Source organism: Homo sapiens, chromosome 22 (assembly GCF_000001405.40).
Source record: "Homo sapiens chromosome 22, GRCh38.p14 Primary Assembly".
Lineage (NCBI taxonomy): Eukaryota > Metazoa > Chordata > Mammalia > Primates > Hominidae > Homo > Homo sapiens.
The window spans coordinates 36,797,215-36,820,236 of NC_000022.11; the positions used below are offsets into that span (position 1 = coordinate 36,797,215).

A 23,022-nucleotide genomic window follows, 5' to 3' on the forward strand; every position below is an offset into this window, starting at 1 on the left:
ATATTGGTTTTTTTTTTTTCATTTCACTCACAAGACTGGTGCAGGGGCTCTAACCTCAGCTTGGGGTGACGCTCCAGAGTAGATTCCTGAGGATGAAGAGGACTGAGCCAGGGAAAAGGGGGTTGGGGAGGACAGGGAGGCAGAATGGTCCAGGCTGAGGTAGAAGGGCTGGGATAGAGGCTGGGTCATGCCCGTAGGCAGGAACTCTGTGTTTGGCTCTGGGATTTGATTCTATAGATTGGGCAGTCGCTGGAAAGATTTAAGCAGAACAATGTGACTTGATCCATGTTTTGGAAAGAGCCCTTGGGCTCTGGGTGGAGAGGGGAGAGGGAGGGGGAGAGGAGGCCAGGAGACAGGCTGGGGACCACTGCAGTGGTCCATGGACACCAGGGCGGTCCCAACAGTGTCTCCCAGAGACCGGGAGAAGCCAGCCCCCTCGACACGGTGAACGTTGCAGTGTAGAAAGATGCCAAACCTGTGTTACAGACACTGACTGGATATTAGCCGTGTTTGAACAGATGCCCGTGTCTGAATTGGAGGCTCTTTACAAATGGGAGACTCAGGCTGCCAGGCTCTGTCATGCCCAATCCCACCCGTGATGGGGCCCAGATTCAGGTGGTGGCCAAGGCCAAGAGAAACGGTCGAGTGGAGCACGACGTGGGAGGCAGGAGGAAGAGGGCTTGGTGAATGACTGCCGGGGTCAGCAAGGCTCTCCCTTGTCATTTCACCTCCCCCGCCACACTCCTGTGCTTCCCTCCCATCCCCCCTCCACACAAGATGCCCACTGCTGTCACCCTGCGCTGTGCAGTGGTATGTTGGGTCATTAAGCCCTGCATTTAATTCCAGCTCTGCCTCTTGCTGGCTGTGTGTCCCCAGAGGGCCTTGGCTTTCTTGTCTGTAAAGGGGGTAATGGTACTGCTTATTGCTGAGGCTTGTTGAAAGGAGGAAATGAGATGTTGTGGTTTAGTAAATAGAACCCTCCCACCCCCAAAGTGGCCGCCATTACTGCTGCCTCTGTTATCCTGCAGCCGCAGCGCAGGGGCCCTGAGCCCTTGCAGGGAAGACATTTCCTCCTTGATCTGCCCAGGCCCCAGACAGAGTCTTTTCAAAATAGGGTCTTGGAGCTAATGCCTTGCATCCCCCAGGAGGTCAAAGGGCCGTGCTCTCTGACACGTGGCTGCTGCGCCATTTGCTGCCCTGAGTCTGAACTGCATGGTGTGGGCTGTCATGCAGGTGCAGAACAAGAGGCACTGAGGCCACTCCAGGCCAGCGGGCAGCTGTCAACTGTCATCCTGACCTGCCTGTCCCTCGCAGGGCTCTGACCTGGTTTCCGGGTGAAATGCTCCCGCTCCCCAGCCCCAGCCCCTCCTCCTGCATTCCACACAGACCCAGCATGGGGTGGGCCCTCTTCCTCTTCCCCAACCCCACTTCAGTGTCCAGAGTTGGGCCCTCTGAGAACCCCCACATGAAGACCCAAGTCTGCATTGGTCCTGACTGTTGTCACGAGCATATGTGTGTACCAATGCCCTCACGCCTCCCCACGTGTACACGCACACTCATGCACATTCCCACTCCCACGCCCATTCCCGCGTGCTCCACCTCTGGCTCACTTGCCACCTTTGTGCAGGCCCTGGCGCCTGGTTGAGCCCCCGGCAGGGCAGCCCTTTGGGGTTTGCTGCTGTGTTGACCCAGTTTCCAGTGTTGGCCTTGAGTCCTCTCCCAGGCCTGGGCCTGCTTGCTCTGAGCCTGGCTACCACCCTGGATGAGGGCCTGCCCATTCCTGCCCTTCAGCCTGCGTCCTGATGGGCTGTCTGCCCCGGGCTGGGCCCTCAGGGAGAGCCTTCCTGACAGCCCTGCCTAAGGGCAACACCTCAGAGAGCAGGGGAGGTGCAGGGCATGGGGTCTGGTGAGAGAGAGACTAACACTCCAATGCCCCCTCTCCACCCAGGGAAATCTAAAATAACCTCCCCAGGGCTGTCTTGGGGAACAGCAGAAGCCCTTCTGTAGGGACGTGGCCATGTTCACCCCCAGCATCTGTCCCCACTTTTCATTTCCACAGGGACACCCCTCTCCCACTCTCAGGCCGTGAGCCTTGTGGGTGACCAACTCCACCTGTCTCCAATCAAGATCCCTCCTCCTGGCCTCTGTGTCTGACTCAGGAAGGGACACAGGCTCTGGAGGTGATGCTGGGGTTGGGGTCCTGGATCCTCCCCGTGGTGGCTGTGTGACTTTTGGCCAACATTTAAATTCTACATGCCTTAGCTTCCTCATCTATACAAGGGATGTAATAATAGCATGCATTTCACAGTGCTGTTGTGCAGATGGAATCCTGTAAAGGACTCAGCACAGAGTAAGTGCTCAGTAAATGTTACCTACTAGTATTAATGGGACTAAATCTGGGGACTTCTGATAGAGTGGCTGGGAACAAGAAGTTCTTTTTTTTTTGCTGGTAATGCTGAATGTTCACCTTGAGTTGCTGGGGGAATCTTGCCATCACGAAGGGAGAGCCCTCCTGATAACAAATTCAGCACAAAGAAAAGCAGTACTCAGAGAGAGGAAAAGAGGGACTTAGTCCTGATGATATCACTTGAGTCCCTTGATCCAGCTGTTCCTGAAGACCTTCCCTTAACTATTCAGGCACATAAGCCAGTCAAGTCCTTTGTTTCCTTCCTTCTTAGCTTAAGTTACTTGAGTTGGGGTTCTGTCATTTGTAAAAAAAATTCTTAATGGTATCCATCCATCTATGTGTCTGTCCATCCATCCACCCACCCATCCATCCATCCATCCATCCATCCATCCATCCCCCCACCCATCCACCCATTCATCCATCGTCCATTCACCCACCCATCCATCCATTTACCCATCTGCCCACCCATCTACTCACCCATCCATCTATCCATCTATCCACCCACCCATCCACCCACCCATTCATCTACCCACCCATCCATCCATCCATTCATCCACCATCCATCCATCCCCCCACCCATCCACCCATTCATCCATCGTCCATTCACCCACCCATCCATCCATTTACCCATCTGCCCACCCATCTACTCACCCATCCATCTATCCATCTATCCACCCACCCATCCACCCACCCATTCATCCACCCACCCATCCATCCATCCATCCATCCATCCATCCATCCATCCATCCATCCACCTACCCATCCACGGACCTGCATTCAAATCCCAACACTAGCAAATCCTGTATTTGTGGGCTTAGACACATCACATCCCCTCTCTGAGACTCAGTTTTTCAGAGAATGGGAGTTTCATCACCTACCTTATGGGGTGGTTTTAGGGAGTAAGTGGGTAACCTCTGTAGAGTTCCATGCTTAGTACTTAGAACAGAAAAGAGACTGTTCCCTTCCATTCCCTCCTATCACAACTTTTCTAACTGTTGAAATCCAGCCCCCACCCCCTGCCCAGATGCATCTGGAAAGCCAATGCCTGACCAGGCCTGGGTCTTCCTGAGCAAGCAGAGTCTGACTGGTACAACCTTTATTGCTTCTCCAGCATTTTCCAGAAGAATGGTGTCATTAGAGGGCCACAGGGGATGGGGGAGTAAAAAATAACATAAACGAACTGAACAGAAATGCAGGAGGGTGGCGAGAGGGGCCGAGATTGGGTGTTCAGGGCAGAGAGGTGGAAGACCAGGGGCAGTCAGTGCTTCTTAGCTTTCAGCCACCAGAGTGGAGAATTCTGCAGAACAAAATGACAAGGAAAGTGAGTCAGAGGCGGGGATGCAAGAGAGACTGTCCACACCTGACTGCGGGGCCCTGGGTGGTGCTCTCTCTGGGTTCTTGCTTCTGCTGCAGCAGCCCCAGAGCGTAAGTGTGAAAATGAATGAATGAATAAATGAATGAATGAGCAGATGAGTGAAGTGAGGTGGGAAATGATGGGCCTACCACATCTTTTGGTTCATCATGCCATGCCACACCCAAAATCATTAATAATAACTACACTAATAACAATAGCAATAATAATAATAATAGTTTTCTGAATGCTTATCATATGCCAGGCACTATTCGAAACACTTTATATGCAATATCTTATTTGACTCTGACAATAGTCCTGTCTGGTGCATTTTGGCATTGTTCCTGTTCTACAGATGAAGAAACTGAGGCTCAGGGTCCTGATTTCTGGACTTCTCTGCTGTTTTTCTCCCCAGGAGATGAGAGAGGACAAGGAGTTTGCTGCCACGTGCCACTACGTGTCTCTGAGATGCCATGTCTCAGCCTGCTGGGGAGTGTAGGGTCTCAGGCAAGTGCCCATCGCCCTAGAAAATGCAGTGTTGTCTTGGCTGGGCACAGTGGCTCACGCGTGTAATCCCAGCACTTTGGGAGGCTGAGGCAGGTGAATCACTTGAGGTCAGGAGTTTGAGACCAGCCTGGCCAACATGGTAAAACCCTGTATCTACTGAAAATGCAAAAATTAGCTGGGTGTGGTGGCGGACGCCTGTAATCCCAGCTACTCCAAAGTCTGAGGCAGGAGAATTGCTTGATCCCAGAAGGCAGAGGTTGCAGTGAGCCAAGATCGTGCCACCGCACTCCAGCTTGGGCAATAGAGTCAGACTCTGTCTCAAAACAAACAAAAAAAAGAAAAGAAAAAAGAAAATGGAGTGTTGTGATGTGGGGAGAGCACAGGCTGGGGATTGAAAGTTAGGGCTTCCAGGCTTAGTCTGGCCCTATTTGCTGGAAAATGTATCTCTCTGGGTTTTGGTTCCCTCATCTGTCAGTGGAGTGAAGAGAGGGGCCAGTAATAATTGCTTGGGTGAGACAAATAAAAAACTGGTCGTGAAATGGCTTCAAAAAGGCCACAAAAAGTATCTGAGACTCATTTGAGGTGAGCTGCGTCCTCCCTGGACTTTGTGTGGAATACAAATGTAAAACCCCACCTATCCAGTTTCTTAGTTTTCATCATTGTACTGTGGTTATGTAAAATATTAACATCGGGGGAGCTGGGTGAAGGGTGTACAGGACTCTCTGTACTATCATTTCAATTCTTCTGTATATCTACAATTATTTCAAAATAAAAAAGTGAAAACACACACACACAAAAGCCAAACCAACACATGCTGTATTGTAGAAATAACCTGGCACTGGGCTGGGCACGGTGGCTCGCTCCTGTAATCCCAGCACTTTGGGAGGCTGAGGTGGGCGGATCACGAGGTCAAGAGATCGAGACTATCCTGGCCAACACGGTGAAACCCTGTCTCTACTAAAAATACAAAAATTAGCTGGACGTGGTGGCGCACACCTGTAGTCCCAGCTACTTGGGAAGCAGAGGCAGGAGGATTGCTTGAACACAGGAGGCAGAGGTTGCAGTGAGCCGAGATCGTGCCACTGCACTCCAGCCTGGTAACAGAGTGAGACTCCATCTCACACAAAAAAAAAAAAAAAAAAAAAAAGAAAGAAACAACCTGGCACTGGCCCTGGCTAGATGAAGGGACACGTACCTGGGTGCCTCACCTTCCTGAGGTTTGACTTAGGAAATAGACATCATCCTTTCCTGTCCCCAGGCTGTCCTAGGATAGGAAAAGTGGGTGACCTGGATATGGGGGATGCAGGGTGGGAGAGAGTGAGGGTCCACCAGCTGGTTTTGAAATCTCCAGGCTCTCTGGCTGAGTGGTAACAGCAGTGCCAAGGATGGAGTCTCAAATAAATACCAAAACAACAAATACTCGTACAGAATCCCTCCCATAGGGCAGGCGTCAAAGTGCTTGCTTTCTCAGCCAGGAGCCTGTGATCTTCCAGGACCTCGGTGGGGCAGGTGGTTATTTTGAGATGTCTTTTATTAGCAGTACTTTTATTAATTATAGCTAGTAACTAACATTTATCGAATGCCAATGTGGGAAGCATTTTGCATATATTATCTCATTGAATCCTCATGACTACTCCATGGGAGAGACACCTTTGTCTGCATTTTACAGATGGGGAAACTGAGGCTCAAAAATTAAGTAGCTTGACCATGACATGATTCAAGCTAGAAATGCTCTTAGGCTTCCTTCTTCATCCCTGTAGTTTCCGACCTACTTTGACCTTGGTATAGAGTGACACATGTCCCAGCTCAAATATCACCATCCCATCGCATTAGTCCTTTTTTATTTACTTCATAGTCCTTGGCACTCTCTGAAATGATCTTATTTATGCACTTATTTTTGTCAGTCTCCCCCTACTAGAATGCAAACTCTAGAGGGCAGGGGAGCCTCTCTCTTGTTCACTGTTCTCCTGGCAGCCACAGTGTTCCTGGCACACAGTAGGTGCTCATAAATAAGCTCTGGGTGGATGGATGGAGGGATGGATGGACAGATGGAGGGAGGGATAGAGGGATGGATGGATGGGGGGTAGATGGATGGATGGATGGATGAGGAATGGGTGGATGGAGGGATGAGGAATGGATGGATAGAGGGATGGATAAAGGGAGAGAAAGATGAATGGATGGATGGGTGGGTGGGTGGATGGATGGATGGATGGATGGATGGATGGATGGATGGGTGGGTGGTTGGGTGGGTGGATGGGATAGCTCACGAGTCCTTCTTAGGGATCAACAAGTTCTGACTTACTTTATATAATTCACATGACAGTCTGGGAGGATTCTAATTTTATAGATGGGGAAATGGAGGCTGGGAAGGTGAGGTGTCAGGGTCATGTGGAAAACAAGAGGCAGAGCCAGGACTTGGCCTCTGGCCTCAGGAACCTGCTACATGAATGTGGAGAGGCTACTCCTGAGAGGGCTAGTGTCCCAGCTCAGGCAGAAGCATGAACCCTCTACAGCTTCAACCTGTCATTTCATCCAGCACTGGCATTCCCTGTTTGGGGGCACTGAGTTTCTCTGTCCTGGGATAAAGGATGCATGAGCCTGTCCATCACCGCCTGCTCATGGAGAGATTGTCAAGAGGGGAAGCTGGTCCTCTCTGTTTTCCAGCCTGCCCTGACCCCTTCATCCTCACTCTGGAAATTATGGGCTCTCAGGCTGCTCATCGGTAAATAGCCCGTTGGTCACCTTCACACTAGACGGGATTTGGTGCAGCTGGTGTGACGGGGACCCAGGGACACCAATGAGGGACTCTCCGGTGACGGAAAGTCAGACATTTTGGAGCCAGACTTTGGGAGGTACTTTGGAGCTGTGGGGTTTTTGAAAGCCTCTTAAATCAGCCCCTCTGCCCACCCTGCAATCTGTTCTCAAGCAGCCAGGACATCACAGTAGCCACATGCGCTGGCCTTCGGCAGAGAACACGGAATTCTAATTTTATCCCCTCAGAACCTTCAATAGGGGACTTTGTAGATAAATTGAGGGCAGGAGCCACCCCTTCCGTGCCTTTCCTATCTGCCTCAGGGCTGAGCTCTTAGGAGCCAGCCAATTAACGAACAGGTCTCCTAGCCAAACCCTTCCTCTAAAATGCCCAGGTCTCTCCTTAAAGAAAAACAAATGACTGGCTGGGTGCAGTGGCTCATGCCTGTAATCACAGCACTTTGGGAGGCTGAGGTGGGCAGATCACAAGGTCAGGAGTTCGAGACCAGCCTGATCAACATGGTGAAACCTCGTCTCTACTAAAAATACAAAAGTCAGCCGGGAGTGGTGGCGCGCGCCTGTAATCCCAGGTACTCAGTAGGCTGAGGCAGGAGACTAGCTTGAACCCGGGAGGTGGAGATTGCAGTGAGCTAAGATCACACCACTGCACTCCAGCCTGGGTGACAGAGCAAGACTCTGTCTCAAAAACAAACGAACAAACAAACAAACAAACAAAGACTACACAAAGATCCTGTAAACTCTAGGTCAGCTGAATTGGTGGTAGGTAGGATCCCAGGATGGGGAATGTAGCTTTGAATGGTCGGGTTCTAGTCTTGGCTTTGCCATCTGCTGCTGTCCCTGGACAAGATGCCTCATCCTCCCTGGTCTTGCTTTTCTTATGAGTGAGTGTTGGGTCTAGAAGACGCCTTTCCAGCTGTCACACGGTGTTTGGAGCAAGCAAGCTGGGGGTAACTCCCAGCTCCCATTTCTTGTTCCTGTGACCTTCGACTAGATGCTTCACCTCACCTGTCAAATGGAGCTCATGATAGTGCCCACTTCCTTAAGTTGTTCAGAGGAGCCAGCACTAAAGCTCTCGGTCACAGGCCTGATGCATAGCAAGCTCTCGGTATCTGGTGGTGTTGCAACCAAGGTGTTTCTGTACTTCAAGCCACTTTAAAACCAAGCCTATAAACGCCTAGTTGCTGCCCGGCAGAAGCAGGAGGCTCTAAATGGTATTGTAACTGGTATTTGTTAGCATCATCGTTGTTCTTGTTGCCATTGTTTGTCTCCATGATCCCAGCATTTCCTGCCTCCGCCCTGGCACCTACCTACAATCATCCAGCAACCCTGGACCTACATCTGAATCTTGTTCCATCACTATCTGGCTAGGTGGCCATCAGTCACTACTTTAGCTCTCTGAGGCTCAGCTTTCTCATTTGTAAAGTGGGTATAATAATGCCTGTTTGGATGGCTATTAGAAAGACCAGATGGGGTAGTACGCCTGGCACACAGTAACTGGTTTATAAGTGTTAGTTCCGCCTCCCGTGTGGATCTCCCCAGCACAACAGACACAGGTTGGAGCTTTGACATAACATTAACTACGAAAGTCCTGAAACTAAGCAAGACAAGGAAGATATAAACAGAGGGCACGGAAAGCCTAAAGAGCAGCCAGCTGACCTGGTACAAGTTTCCGACCCATCTATCCCATCAGAGCTAGCATCCCACCTCCGGCACATCCATCCGTGGCAACTTAGTTCCTGATCCTCAGTTTCCTCATCTATAAAATGGGGATACTGGGACTATCTCCTTATAGGGTTATGGTAAGGGCTCCATAAGATAATGGAGAAGGAGTGCCCAGCACAGTGCCTGGCACACAGTGGGAATGCGACTAAATCAACTCTTAATGTTGACAGGTAGAAGAGACAGTCTTCCTTTGGAGGTATCCAGAATGGTCATTCTCTTCTAAGACATGAAAGGACAGCAGTACTTTTGCAGTCTAAATCCTCGCCCAAGACCCTCTGGGGCCAGCTTGCAGATGTCATCATTGTCCAACCAGAAAGCGACAAAGGAGGTAGATGGTAGGGATGGGGGTGGGAAGGAGGCAGCAGAGGGAGGATCAGAGGACTAGAGGATTCTGTTCTTTTCTTTCCCTTAGGAAACTGAAATTAGCCTAATTAGGTCTGTCCCAGTCCAAGGCCGCGGGGATTGGACAAATTTAGAAGCTATTGACAGGTGAGAGCAACACACGCTGATGGCCCAAAGCGAAACTGAGCCGGCCATTGAGTCAGCGGCTGGAAGGCTCTTTCCCTCCCTCTGTCGTGATGACCGGGATGAAGGAGCCGGCCTCCTGGTTTATCACCTCACCTCTAAATAGCTCCCGGGCTCGGTTTCTTATAAATTGGTATCTCAAACAGGGATCACCTTCCCATCCCGGAGAACTGGGAGGCAGAGTCACTCCGGGTCAAGCCAGACAGCCACAAGGAGGCCGCGTCAACAGTTCTGGGGCTCACTCTGTACCAGGCACCGCACGGTGTGTTATTCCATTTCATCCTCGTCGGCTCTCTTATCTTCATTTTGTTTACAGAGAAACTGAGGCTGAGTGTCACTGTGTCACTCAGCTAGGAAGATTCTAACAGGCGTGGCTGGGGCCAGGGTGCGTCTCTTCCTCAAAGGTTGGAGTTAAATGGTCCTGGTTCTGACTCAAGCTGCAACCCCCAGAGGCAGAAGGAGAGGGATGCATGGAGGGGAATGTCTTTTTCCACCAAGCAGCTGCTCCCTTTCACAAGAGGCCAGTTATGTAAGGAAGGCTGCTTCCTCTCCCCTTGCTAAATCTTTTCTAGTGCAGCATAAGGCCAGAGCTAGGGAAAGTCCACACGGGAATAAAAAGAGCAGATTGCTAAGCACAGAAGCCATTTATAACTAAAACGTCTCAGCTCAGCTTAGGGGAGGGAGTGGTGGAGTCAGGAGACCCGGGTCCCGTTGGGCCAAGGACTTCTATGTGACTTTGGCACTTACTGTCTACGGGGCCTCAGTTTTCAAGTCTCTCAGTGGGCATCACAGTGTCCCCTAAACCTCATTGAGCTGGTACCAGGGTGCAATGAGATGGGACAAAGCATCGTGCACCTTAGGGCTCTGCCCTCAAAACCCTGGGCTAGCCTTGATCTGAGCATCCTGTCCTACTTAGAAATCAAATCCCCATAGAGGCCGGAGGGCTAGAATTACAGGGAGAACGGCAAATTCTCCTTCTATCTCTCTCACTTTTCTCCTGCTTTAGACTCAATTTCCTTTCTGTTGAGGATTGAGATTCCACCACTTTTAAAAGGTTTTGGGTGGCTTACGAGCAAAACATTCCCATAAAATAAGAGGAAAGGAATCATTTCTAGAACATTCTCTTCATTCGAGCAACAGCCCTGTAAGGTGTGTATTTTTCTCCCCACTTTCCAGGTGTGGGAATGGATGTCCTGAGAGAGGAAAAGATACAGCCATTCCCACGGCTGATCCCCAGCATTTGGCTTTCTAATTTCTGCCTGACTCAGGTGCTCCACCACAGCCCAAGGCCTTACGCTACCACTCCGCCTCTCACGCCTCTCACGGTAAATAGGCTACTTAAGGATAAAAGGGAACAGATTTTGCCAGAGGGAAGCAGAAAAGGCAAATTCCTTCAGGCATGCGAGTGAGTGGCAAGGGGTGGGGGGGTTGCAAGGTTAGGCAATAATGATGACTACATGTTTCAGCAACAGAAGCAAAATGCAAACCCCAAACTCTTGAGTTGAGACACACTTAAAGCAGAGGGCAGTGGATCCATCGCCGGGAATGGGTTTCAGGAAGAATGTAACTAGGACTGCGTGCAGGCACGTGTGCACACGGGGCATGCGGATCTTCTCTGCAGCAAGATATTAGGAGTCAAGGTTTGAAGAGGGCCCTGAGGCTTCACAGCAAGTCGCTCTGCTTCCCGGGGCCTCAGATTCCTTGTATGTATCAGTAACAAAAATATCTTGTAGAGCTGTTGGGAGGTTTGAATGAGTTAAAAGATGTAAGGCCTGTGTGCTGTACTTGGCACACAGGAAGTGGGGATGAATGCTAACCTCGATTCCTGTTGGTCAACACACTCTGCGGGGGCAGGCATTGAGTTTGGAAGGCCCAGGCTGGGGACACATGCTCGTGTGAGGCAGGATGGCAGAGGGTCCTGGCTGGACCACCGAGCCTCAGTTCTAGCTCTGCTACAGAGAGACCCTGGGCATGTCACTTCTCACGATGCCTCAGTTTCTCCACTTGCAAAATGGGGATAGTGACGGCATCTACTTCCTAGGATTATTGTAAGGCAGTGGTCTTCTAAGTGTGGTTCGCCAGATCATTAGCACCATCTGCTAACTTGTAAGAAATGCAAAAGTGTGGGCTCCACCTAAGGAATCAGAAACTCCTGGGGTCTGGCACAGCCATCTGTGTTGCCATAGGCCCTCCAGGTGATGCTGACACCCGCTCCCAGCTGGAGACCTGTTGTGAAGGTGAAGTGTTTGAAAAGCCACCTGCCACATAGTCTGCTTTGTCTGCTTTTTATGCCTGGGCTTTGCAACTGCAGGTGCTTTAACAAAGATTTTTTTTTGGCACCCTTCACCTCTTTTTCTAGCTTCTCTTTCCTTTTCAGCCTTAAGCCCTCCCCATGTCAGCTCTGCACCAGCCTTTTAGGGTGGCCTTTGAGAATGAATCAACCACATCTATAAAAGCCTTTGAGCTTCCTGGAAGTAGTTGCCCCAGAGACGGGAATGCAAAGGGTTATTATTAGAACTTTGTCTTCCTACCCCCTCCCTTCAATACAGGATCTTCAAGAAACTGATAAGTATCACTCACCTTCAGAAGGACAAACAGAGCAGGGAAGAGAGGCAGTCCCTGGTTTGGGCTCCCTGGCACCTGCTACAGACAAGTCTCCACAGATCCCCAACCTTGGCTTGCAGATCATCTCCCACTACATACAGCAGTTATGATCCTCATCACTGCACAGTGCTGCCCAGAGCTGGGTACTTGTTCATTCATTCATTCATTCATTCAACCAAATACACTTTTCTTTTTCTCCCACTATGGGCCAGGCCCTATTCTAGGTGCTGGGATTAGAACTGAAAAAAACAAAGTTCCTGCTCAGTGGACCTGACATCTTAGTGGAGGAGAAAGAAATAGGCAATAAGTCAATAAATATAATCATCTTATAGTAAATTAAACTATGAATGAATGAATGAATGAATGAAGCAGGCAGCACAGGTCACGTGCTTCGGAGCTCAAAAGACCCGACTTTCAGACTTTGATCTTTTCTCTTCCTAGCCTAAAGGGTTTATGCAAGCCCTTAGCCTCTCTGAGCCTCAGTGTGCTCATCTATAAAATGGGAATCATAATAGTATACACTTCAGAGATAGCTAGGAAGATTAAATGAGTGAAATGCTAAGCACGGTGCCTGGCACATATTGAGCGCTCTATGAACTTAGATGCTATTGCCATCATCACTCAAGGTCACGCAGCTGAGCCAAAATAGTGAAGTGGTCTTCTGTGTAGAGGTTTATCCACTGAGACATCTGTGAAATCCCGGGGCTGGAACGCACCCCAGTAATTGGCTAGTGATCTGCCCCATGTCCCATGTTTTTTTTTTTTTTTTTTGGTTTTTCGTTTTGTTTTGTTTTGTTTTTGAGATGGAGTCTAGCTCTGCTGTCCAGGCTGGAGTGCAGTGGTGTGATCTTGGCTCACTGCAACCTCCGCCTCCTGGGTTCAAGTGATTCTCCTGCCTCAGCCTCTTGAGTAGCTGGGATTACAGGTGTGTGCCACCACGCCTGGCTAATTTTTGTATTTTTAGTAGAGGTGGGGTTTCACCATGTTGGCCAGGCTGGTCTCGAACTCCTGACCTTGTGATCTGCCCGCCTTGGACTCCCAAAGTGCTGGGATTACAGGCATGAGCCACTGCGCCCGGCATGCCCCATGGTTTTAAAGACAAGGCACTTTATGGTCAGAGGGGCTCTGGGACATGCCCCAGATCCCGCCAGGAGTTGAAGGCATCTTCCAGCTATAGGTGGGGCTCGGGCCTTCTGGCCTTTAGAGAGAGTGACAGCAAAGCAGAGTATCTGAAACAGAACGTCCTGGGCCCCAAAAAGGCTCTGCTTCCCATCTCGCTGCCTATTGGGCATCATTGCACCCACCCTTCCTGCGTTAGGGGGTTGGGAGTGAGGAAGGGGGCATCTGCATCTTCCCACCTCAAAAGCATGAAGTGTGGGGCCCCAGTGCCTCAGGGTGGTCTGTGCTCATTGTCTATTTTATGTCTTGCCTATGAGCTCAATGGAGGCTGCACAGGTGGGCCTGGACCATGCTGTTGGGTTTGAATCCTGGCCCTGACACTTGCTGGCATTGTGACCTTGCACTCACTCCCTGGGCTGCCCTTTCTACATCTGCACTTATGTCCTCTGTTGTCCCAAGGTCAAATGAGGTAACCAAACCCAGCACTAGGCTGGACACACATGACATGCCCAGCTAATAATTCTTTCCTCCCATTCTTGGCAAAACAATCTTCTTGCCCCTTTCTGAACATACCCAAAAGTTTCCAGCCTTGGCTGATGCCAATACCTTGCCTGGACCCCACTCCCTCTGTCCCCTACAGCCTGTGGCTTAGCCTCCAAGTCCGTACAAAATGCCTGATGCCTGCGCCTCTGCCTCTGGCTGGCACTATCGCTTGTTTGTGTATATGTGTAGAGCTGCAAGCAATTTGCAGACAATAAAAATGACATTGCATGGCCGGGTGCAGTGGCTCATGCCTGTAACCCCAGCACTTTGGGAGGCTGAGGTGGGCGGATGACTTGAGGTCAGGAGTTCGAGACCAGCCTGGCCAACATGGTGAAACCTCGTCTCTACTAAAAATACAAAAATTAGCTGGGGATGGTGGTGCGTGCCTGTAATCCCAGCTACTCAGGAGGCTGGGGGAGGGGGGAATTGCTTAAACCCAGGAGGCAGAGGTTGCAGAGAGCTGAGATTACACCACTGCACTCCAGCCTGGGTGACAGAGAGAGACTGTCTCTAAATAAATAAATAAATAAATAAATAAATAAATAAGGCATTGCAGTGGCCATTTATTGAGCATTTGTTATGTGCTGGGCACTACAGGCCACATTTCCATGTTATAATGCCTAGTTTACAGATGAGGAAGCTGGGGCTCAGGGCTAAGGAGTAGCTGCTCAGGGGCACCCAGTCAGGAAATGGGCCTGAATTATTTTTACCTCTTCCATTGCCGGGCACAGAGTTGCTACTCAGTCAACATCTGCTGGATCTGTTAGAAGAGTTTAGTTGATGCCTTAAGATCTGAGTGTGGCAGGGAGGGAGGGAGGGAGGCAGGGAACTGGGCCAGGTTTGGCTGGTTTCTCTTCATCAGGTAGGTTTTCTGTGAGCAGTCAGCCATGAAGACCCAGCCCAGGGCTTCTGAGGTATGGCATATTGGCTGCAAATAAAAATGGAAGGCAGGTCTGGAGGCCAGGGTCAGGGTTCAGATGGGAGCCAGGCCTTGGGGTGGAGCTGTCTGATAAGCAGATTGGTGGGGATGGGGGTGTGAGGGAGGATCTGCCAAGCACCAGAAGCCCCAGGAGCGGCCAAGCCAATGATGCCTTTCCAATACCCTCTGCTCCACTCCTTTAAAACCACCTCCCTCCTTCCCAGCCACAAGAAGGGCAGCTGGCATCAGATGGCCAGGGGACCCCCTGCATTTGACCTGGATAGGGATTCTCCATTCTCGTTACTGGCAGGAAACAAACAAACAGAAAAGAAATCAACAACAACAACAACAAAAAAAACCCTCTAACTCATAGGCATACACCTACTTTCATAATCCTTGTACCTTTCCCAAAGCAATTTTGGGTTCACAGAATCTTAATTTTCACAACAAGCCCAAATAGGTCTTAGGAGAAGCTGATGCACCCCATTTGCCGGGCAAGGGAACGTAGGTGTGCAGAGGTGACGTGTTCAAGGTCACAGCTGGCAAGGGGCAGAGAAGGAGCAGAGCATGGGGGTCTGGGCTTTACACTCAGGCAGCGGATGTTTATGAAGCACCTGCTCTGTGTGGGGTATTGGCTAGATACTGGGGCTAGAAGGATGAATGCAACCCAATCCCTAGTTTTAAGTTTTACATCCACTTATATGTTGGATGTAAGTGGGTAGAACGTGAAGATTCTAGACAGAAGGTACCCTTGCGAAGGGACCTAGTTTTAAAAAAATTAGCTAACAAATACATATATAACATTTACTCTGTGCCAGACACTGTTCTAGGCACTTTACATATTAACACATCTAACCCTTGTAATCACCCTGTAAGAATTATCATTCTATTCAGTTCAGAGATGAGAAAACAGAGGCTCAGAGTAGTTATCAAATTACGCAAGGTCACACAGCTCGAAAGTGGTAGGGCTGGGATTTGAACCCAGATAGCCTGGGGCCCAGAGGCCAAACACCTACACACAGTTTTCTCTGAGACCAGCAGAAAAGCCTATTATGGGAACAAATGGCAGCTTAGTATGTTGCAAACACTCATTCAGGCCTGGTTCTAAATCCCCACTCCACCGCTATGTCCTAGCTCTTTCAACTAGGCTAAGCACCTTCAAAGTCCATTTGCCCACCTGCAAAATGGAGATAATTCCGGAGAAAATCATAAGCTAAGAGAGATAGCAATGTGGGTGTGCTCCATGAATGCCACACAGAGCCAAATGGAGAAAGGAGTGGACGGTGGGCCACTGGTCTCTCACCTGTGCTGACATTGAAGCCTGCAAAGCAAGGCAGGGCCAGGTATTCCCTGTCTGAATTCCCCACTGATTTCTGGTTTACTGTTTTTCCTGGCTCTGCTGCAAGGCTAGAATAGTATATTTGAGTAAAACCCAAACAGGTTTTGAGACTTGGGGTTACAGGACACCAGGACAAGATGCTGAGGAGGACAGGAGATAGGAATTTCCATCCCTGGAATCTGAGGATGTGAGAGGCAGAGGATCCTTGGGGATTAGTCGGCCTCATTTCGTTGGATTAGAGATGGGAGACAGAGGCCCAGCGATCGAGAGACACTGCCCAAGGTCACACAGCCAGTTTGGGCAGAGGTTGGGCCAGTATCCATGCAAAAATGCAGGCAGAGTTCAGGAAAAAAAAATCCCAAATCCTCCTGGATCCCCTACCCAGCAGGAAAAACAGAATCTATTCCTTTTAGGTTTTCAAATTAGGAAAATACACCAGTTTTCCTTTGTCTGGAGTATGTGGCAGAGCTCTCAGACCTAATGGACTGCTTTTTGTCTTCTAATCTGGGGGAGTGAGGGACCCCCATATCATCCCTTCCTTGTGACAGACATAGCTTCAAACTTTTCGCATCCAACACCCCAAGATCCACAATATGCCCAGACCCCAGGTCACGGCTACCCACCGTCAACCCCAATTTTGCCGTCCCCATCTTTGTCTCCAGCAGCCATCAGCATCTTGGTTTCTTTAGCAGACAGGTCTCTGGCATCTGGGGAGAAGCCTTTTAGGATGAATCTGGAGGAGAAAAGGGAGAAAGCCGGTGAGGGAGTCAGGCCGAGGTCGCCTTGCAGGACGCTGGATGGAGGGTGGTCTGGTTTCTGTATGGGGAAAGGGATGGCTGGGACAGGCAGCGAGCAGCAGTCACGCACACGGATGCTCTGGGCCAGGTAGCCTGCTCGGTGGCTGTGCTTTCGTGGGTGAGTATTTAGGAAAGGACAGGCTGTCCTCAGTGAAGGGTTGTCCTCACTTCAGGGAGGGCACCTACATTCGTTAATTTATCCAACAAGTATTCACTAAGTGTCATTTCTGTGTCTGGCGTATGCTGGAAAGTGGGGTCACAGTGGTGATCTTCGGAAGGCACTGGAAAAAATAAGGAGGTCACGGGCTCCGAGAGAGACCACACAGTGTGATGGGCCGTGGAGGAGGGCACTCAGAAGCTGTATCTGCCCACCTGCGGTGAGGGGAGGAGAGGGGAGGCTTCCTGGTGAAGGTGATACCTGGAGGACAGGGGGAAGTCAGCCTCTGTGAGTGTGTGTGTGTGTGTGTGTGTGTGTGTGTGTGTGTGCATAAGTGTGCATGCATGTTGGATGTAAGTGGGTAGAACGTGAAGATTCTAGACAGAAGGTACCCTTGTGAGATGGTTTAGGGGAGAGACAGGATGGGTGGGGAAGTCCCTACTTGAAAGGCCTCTCCCTACACCCACCCCCCGCTTCTCTTTTTGACAAAACTCAAGGCTTTCTTGGCCAGAAAGTGACATAAGGCAACCTGAGTCAGTAGACATGGCCGGGTGGCTGAGGGAATTATGGTGGGAGATGCTTTTGCAGATGGAGGCATGCATTTTCCTAGCCACAGCCTTCTCCTTCTCTGCTTTTCTCCAAGGACCCCTGGACTCTCAGAGGTGGTTCTGCATCCCTGGCTTGCCTAGAAATTGCACCAGCCACACTAGTACCAGAGGGCTGGGGGCTGCAGGAAGGTGGAAAGTGTCTTTTAGACAAATGAAAATCAATGAAATACTCAAGTGAATGCTTTCTGCCCTGCCTATGGTGTTAGGCAGCAAGAAAACTGCCTCTTCATTTGCATTAAATTATTAAGTAGCAACATTCCATTAGCAATATTAAGTGGCTATCATTTAACCTAGTTAGTTGCACTTTCAGCTGAGGGTTTTACTCTTCCGAAGCAATAGCACCAGGAAGCCTTCTCCCCTGGTGCCCTGGGTCGGAGCCCTGCCTTCACGCACGGTTACTTTCTGTGAAGCAGGCAGAGTGAAAGGCAGGTCTGATGGACACTTGGAAGCTAGAGTCCCAGCCCCCACTCCCTCTCGTGCAGCCGTGGGCTGGGCAGCCCCTGCAGGCCTCCGCTTACCCCAGCTCATCCTCCTCGATGAAGCCACTTTTGTCCTTGTCCAGCATGTGAAACACCTTCTTCACATCATCCGCACTCTTTTTCTTCAGGCCGACCATTTGGAAGAACTTTTTGTGGTCGAAGGAGTCGGTAGCTGTGGGGGGAAGAGCAGGGTCAAACAAGGACCAGAAAGGCTGGTAGGGAAGCCTGGGAGAATGGGGGGCATCAAGGCATTTGTTGATGGATTCCCACATGCCAGTCATGGGGAATGAGAGGTACCCACCTCCATTGGAGGGCTGAGGGAGCCCGGGCAAGGGAGGATAACCTGTCCAAGGTCACAAGGCTGGGAGTGGAAGAGGTGTGCTCAAACCCAGACCTCCCTGGCTCTCAAGCCCGCCCCCACGCCCCACCTCCACTGCACCCATTGCTGATGATGGGAGCAGCACCTAAGAACCAAAGGCTTTTGTTCTTCTGAGAACCTTGTGCCCAGGAAGACTTTTGAGTGCCAGCTGGTTGGGAGTGGGCTGGGGAATTGAAGGGGGCATGAACATGGTCCTGGGGTTAGGGGGAGGAGGGTTGACCTTCTTTCTTGGCCACAGACTTTGTTGCCAGAAAATTGACATAGAAAGGACAGGTTTCCCTCAAGGTCATACAGTGGGAGGAGGAGGGGCAAACCCGGAAGTCCTGGCTCTGCGCAGAAATCCACTTCGGAGGCAGTGGGAAGGGGGTGTTAGGAGGCTCCCGAGAAACACCCAGTTAAGTTTCTTCCCACATGGGCTTGAGGTGAAGGGAGAGGGTTATCCCAGGACCCTGGGAGGGTGGCTTCCCAGAGAGGTTCTTGTGCCCAGGGGAGGGGGTGCAAAGCAGAAAGGAAATGGGGGTCCTTTTCTACCTGCAATTTTCTGTATCTTGGGGTCCTGTTTTAGAACACCTGGGGAAGGGTACAATGTTAGATCATGTATTTTGTGTGTGTGTGTGTGTGTGTGTGTGTGTAGGGAATGGCTGTTGAAGTCATGTTCTCTTCCCCTCAGCACAGGGCTAGAGACAAGGAAAGTTGCCCTGTCCACCTCCGACACTAGGCTGGGCAACCCAGTTCTAATACCCCTTCTGCCCAGCTAGGTGACCTTGGGCAAATGTCTTGTCCTCTCCAAGACAGTTCCCTGATTTCCCCATCTGGAGGACAGGGGAGGAGGAAGGCGGGCAGCTTAGCGCTGAAGTCCCGGGCAGCTGGGAGAGGTGAGACTGCCAGTTCCCCTCCCCTGCCCGCCTAAGGAGGCTGGAGGTTTGAGGCACTGAGGATGCCCCGTGCGGGCTTAGGCAGAGCTGTGCGCCGGCTCCAGAAGGTCACCTCGCCCGCAGGTCCGTTGCTGAATCTCAGTAAAGGAACTAGGACAGTCAGGGGGCCAACAAAGGCTACCGCCTGGCGGGAAAAGTCCTGTCCAGAATGAGGGTCCAGGAAAGGGGTCTCTTGGAGAGGAGGATGCCCCCTGCAGTCCCCTCTAAGTGCCTTAAAGAGGACGTCCAGAGAGCTCGTACAAGGACCCTGGAGGTCTCTCCTCCGACCCTGGTCTTCGCCCTTGGTCCCGGACCCTGAGTCCTCCCAGCCACCGGGCCTTCAGCACCCTCAAGTTTCTGTAACTTAGGCGGGGCGCCCTCTTCCCCGCCCGCTCCCCGCGCCAAGCCTCGCCCGGACAGAGTTTGGGAACTGCCAAGGACGCCCCCGCCCCGACCTCGCCGGCGCCCAGCGGGAAGTGTGGGCAGAAGCGCGCTGGGGAGGATCCGCCGGCTGCGGGGCCGGCGGAGTGCAGGGGCGCGGGCGGTGGACGAGGGGAGAGGGATGGGGAGGGGAGCGCGCTTGCTCACCGCTAAAGGCTCCCACCGCCTTCTTGATGTCCTCAGCGTTCAGCAAGTCTGTCATCGACATCCTGCAACTGTTTGAGCGGGCAGAGCAAGTGCGAAAAGATTAAAAAGTGCTTTTCTCATCATTTCTGCTCATATGACCAGCGCTGCAGTGCTGCGCGCCGGGCGCACGCCCGCCGGGCCTGGCATGGCGCCAGGGGCCCGGACTCTGAGCGCAGCGGGAGCGGCTCAGTCCAGCCGCGCCGCTGAGCAGCGCCGGCCGCCGGCAAGAAGGCGCGCGGACCTGCTACCACTCCTGCACCGCCAGGCCAGGGGTCCGCGGGATCCCAGGGGCTGCGGCCAGGGCACGAGGGAAGGGGCCACCTCTGGGATTTAGGGGGCACTGGCGTCACCAGCTGGGTCTGGAAAGTCCACCTGCCGTCAAGGACACGCAGGAGGTGCGCCGTCTCAGATCTGGGAACCTTGGCGGATGTCCTGCCGCGTGGGGGAAGATCCTGAACCTTCAGCGGCCAGCCTGCACCTCAGGACCTCCTAGGCCCTGCTCCCTTTCTCTCTCCACTCCTACCTCAGCCTCTGCTCTGGTCTGTCCTGGATGCAAATTTATGCTGCAAAATCTGAGCGCTGAGGTCCTGAAACCTGACCCACCCGACGCAGGGAGGAGGTGGCAGGGACAGGGACAGGGACAGGCAGGAGCTGCTGGGGCCCACTTCGGGTGCCCCATCCCACATCTGGCCAGGGATGCATATTCTAAAACCTGATTTGATGTTTTACTTTTATTTTTTATTTTTTTGCTGGCTTGATTTTTCGAAGAACACTTCTCAGATCTCTACTAACTACTTGCTTTCCTGGTCTCCTGGGTCCTGGCATCATGGGTCCAGACTCCCCCTACTCCTATAAACCTTTTTTGGGCAGAGTAGGGTGGGAGAGTCCGCTTGGAATTGCTATGCTCCCTCCCAGAAAGCCCCATATGTGTTTGGAAGAAGGGTAGCACCTTCAGACCACACTTTCTAGACAACCTAAGCAGGTGTAGGGGTCTGAACTTCACCTCTGGAAAAATGTCACGGTGCCTATCTGTATGCAGCCAGAGACCCGTTGTGTTCTTCCCCATGGTTCCCAAGGTTTCAAGCTGCAACCAGCTGCTTCTAGAGTGTGTGAGCGCTGGACAGGGAGTCAGGAGGCCTGGGTTCTAGATCCTGGGCTGCACTAAGTCCCAGTGTGACCTTGGGTTGTGACCTTCTCTGGGCTTCTGTCTCCTTCTGATGTGTTGATGACGTCAGTGGTCCCATGTAGTGGGACCTGGGGACTGCAACTTAAGGTATTGGCAGGTAGGCAGGGCCTTGGGCTGTGGTGGCCCTGGGTGGTGGGGACCAGGGAGAGCAGCTGTCCAGCTGCCCAGTAACTCAAGTTCCCTGACATCGCTGTCAACATTGTCTCCTGCAGCTCAGCCCTGGATGGCTGCCCTTCCTGGAAACCTTAGGATACCTCTGCTGGCTCCAGCTGCCCCCTCCCTGTGAGTCAGCTCCTTCAAGCCACAGCCCGCCAGATGGCTTCCAAGGCACCAAGGATGCAGCTCCTGACCTGATGCCTCTCAGCTCCAGGACTTCCCAGGACCCCTCAGCTGCCCTGGACCCTGCTGCTACTGCCGTCACCTCTGCACCTTGTCCCCAGCTGGGCTGCTGACTCAGATATGCCAGGCTCCTATGCTATCATTTCAACTCCCAGGCTCAGCTCACTCCAGGAGCCTAGTTGGAGAATGGATTTCCCCAGCTGAAGGACGCTTCAGCTATACCAGTGGAGAAACGGAGGCACAGAGTCCGTGAATGGTCTAAGGACACATGGTAAAGCAATAGCAGAGCAGGGTACACCCCTGGACTCACTCGTGTGGAGTTCAGTGACTCTCTGGGTGATCCTCCCTGGTGCCTGGGACCCAGCTCTATCAGGTCCCATACATCTCAGCCACACACTGGCTCCTGGTGAGCCCCTAAGCAGCTACCCTGTGGCAAAGGCTGCAGCCTCAACAGGGGCCCACTCTTCTTCCATCTCCTTCCTCCATCTCTCCCTGCTGCTGAGTTCTCCTATCAACTTGACACCCCCTCCGGGACTGAGCCCTCCCAGCCAGAGCATCAATGTCATTAGGTCAGCCCATCAGCCCTGGGTAGTCCTCCTCTGCCCTCTGGGTCCTCTCTGATGGCATCACCAGAGTCCACAGATGTCTGACTCCAGCCCTCTCGTTCTAAGGCTGGGGAATCTGAGGCCCAGCCACGGGGGGCGGTGGGTGGGGGGAGTTTGCCCCAGGCCACACCAGGAGTCTGGGTGGAGAAGCAGGAATGCATGCTCTCAGCCCTACATTCCACAGCTGCCCTGCCTCCAGCACCCCCACCGCACCCCCCTCCCCGGGTCACTACGGACAGGGGAGATGTAGCTCTCCCTTCCAGCTGGCTCATCCTGCTGCATCCCTCTATCCTCCAACCTCGGTAGCTGCCACTCACCTCGGGTGGGGGTGGAGGGCTGGAGCCTGCACTGAAAGGCTGGGCTGGTGGGAAGTCCTGTCGGGAAGTGAGCCTGGAGGTGGGATGGCCACCTATATAGGCTTCTGCTCTGGCTATTTTGGGAGGTGGCACTCCCCGTAGCCCCGGCCCCCTCCCCTTCCGGTGTCAGGTACTCCCCAACCGTGGTGCTGGGTGTCTGTATCACATTCAGCCTCCCTGGGCCCATCAGGCCAAGACTATTAATAACTCTTGGCCCCTGCTTCCCTCCAGCACCCAAAATTGAGGCCCAGGCAGGGCTCGCCTCTTCCATGAAGCCTTCCGTGACCACTGTAGATGGCAGCGATGCTTCCTTCCTCCATATTCTGCCAGGAAAGGAAGAGAAACAGCAAGGAAAAGAATGAAACAAGAACTGTCCTCTGTGCATGGGGCTGAGCCCCATTCCTATGCTGATATGATCTCTCACTACAGCCTTGCCAGGTAGACATAGCTGCTCTCGCACAGATGAGGAAACAGCATAAAGACGTTAGATGTTAAGTGACCTGCTGCTCAAAGCCACGGGCCTGGGGTTGGGAGCGGACTCAGCACTTTTGTGCGAGGATCTAGTGCCTGGTAGAAGGAAATGTTCCGCATATTCTCAGACAAGTCCCTTCCTCTCTCTTTCTCAGTCTTTCCACCTGTAACATGAGCTCAATCAGAGGTAAACTGTGCCCTATAGATGGTCTAGGGCGAGGGGAAGATGGACCCCCTGAAATTGTATGCGTGTGACATTGAGGCACAAAGGCCCAAGCCCTTCATGATTTGCAAAG

General features: G+C 52.0%; 1 protein-coding gene across 2 annotated transcripts, besides 2 other annotated features; it reads right to left on the reverse strand.

Moving 5' to 3' along the window:
* Positions 1,361-2,283: an enhancer, noted in NCBI's record as "H3K4me1 hESC enhancer chr22:37194619-37195541 (GRCh37/hg19 assembly coordinates)". NCBI's record gives its function as "activates a minimal SCP1, AML or CMV promoter by ChIP-STARR-seq in naive H9 embryonic stem cells {active_cell/tissue: H9 hESC(naive)}" and the evidence as "EXISTENCE:reporter gene assay evidence [ECO:0000049][PMID:30033119]".
* PVALB (parvalbumin) lies at positions 3,489-22,285 on the reverse strand. Of its 2 annotated transcripts, NM_002854.3 has the most exons (5): positions 22,217-22,285; positions 19,731-19,798; positions 17,889-18,021; positions 16,432-16,541; positions 3,489-3,704 (listed from the first exon to the last, which is right to left on the reverse strand). In NM_002854.3, the coding sequence occupies exons 2-5, from the start codon at positions 19,789-19,791 to the stop codon at positions 3,676-3,678; spliced, it is 333 nt and encodes a 110-aa protein (NP_002845.1). In that variant the 5' UTR covers positions 19,792-19,798; positions 22,217-22,285; the 3' UTR covers positions 3,489-3,675. The 2 variants fall into 2 exon arrangements, with proteins under 2 accessions (NP_002845.1, NP_001302461.1); NM_001315532.2 differs by lacking the exon at positions 22,217-22,285 and having other exon boundaries at positions 19,731-19,821.
* Positions 10,187-10,913: an enhancer, noted in NCBI's record as "NANOG-H3K4me1 hESC enhancer chr22:37203445-37204171 (GRCh37/hg19 assembly coordinates)". NCBI's record gives its function as "activates a minimal SCP1, AML or CMV promoter by ChIP-STARR-seq in primed H9 embryonic stem cells {active_cell/tissue: H9 hESC(primed)}" and the evidence as "EXISTENCE:reporter gene assay evidence [ECO:0000049][PMID:30033119]".
* Positions 22,286-23,022: the final 737 nt, after the last annotated feature.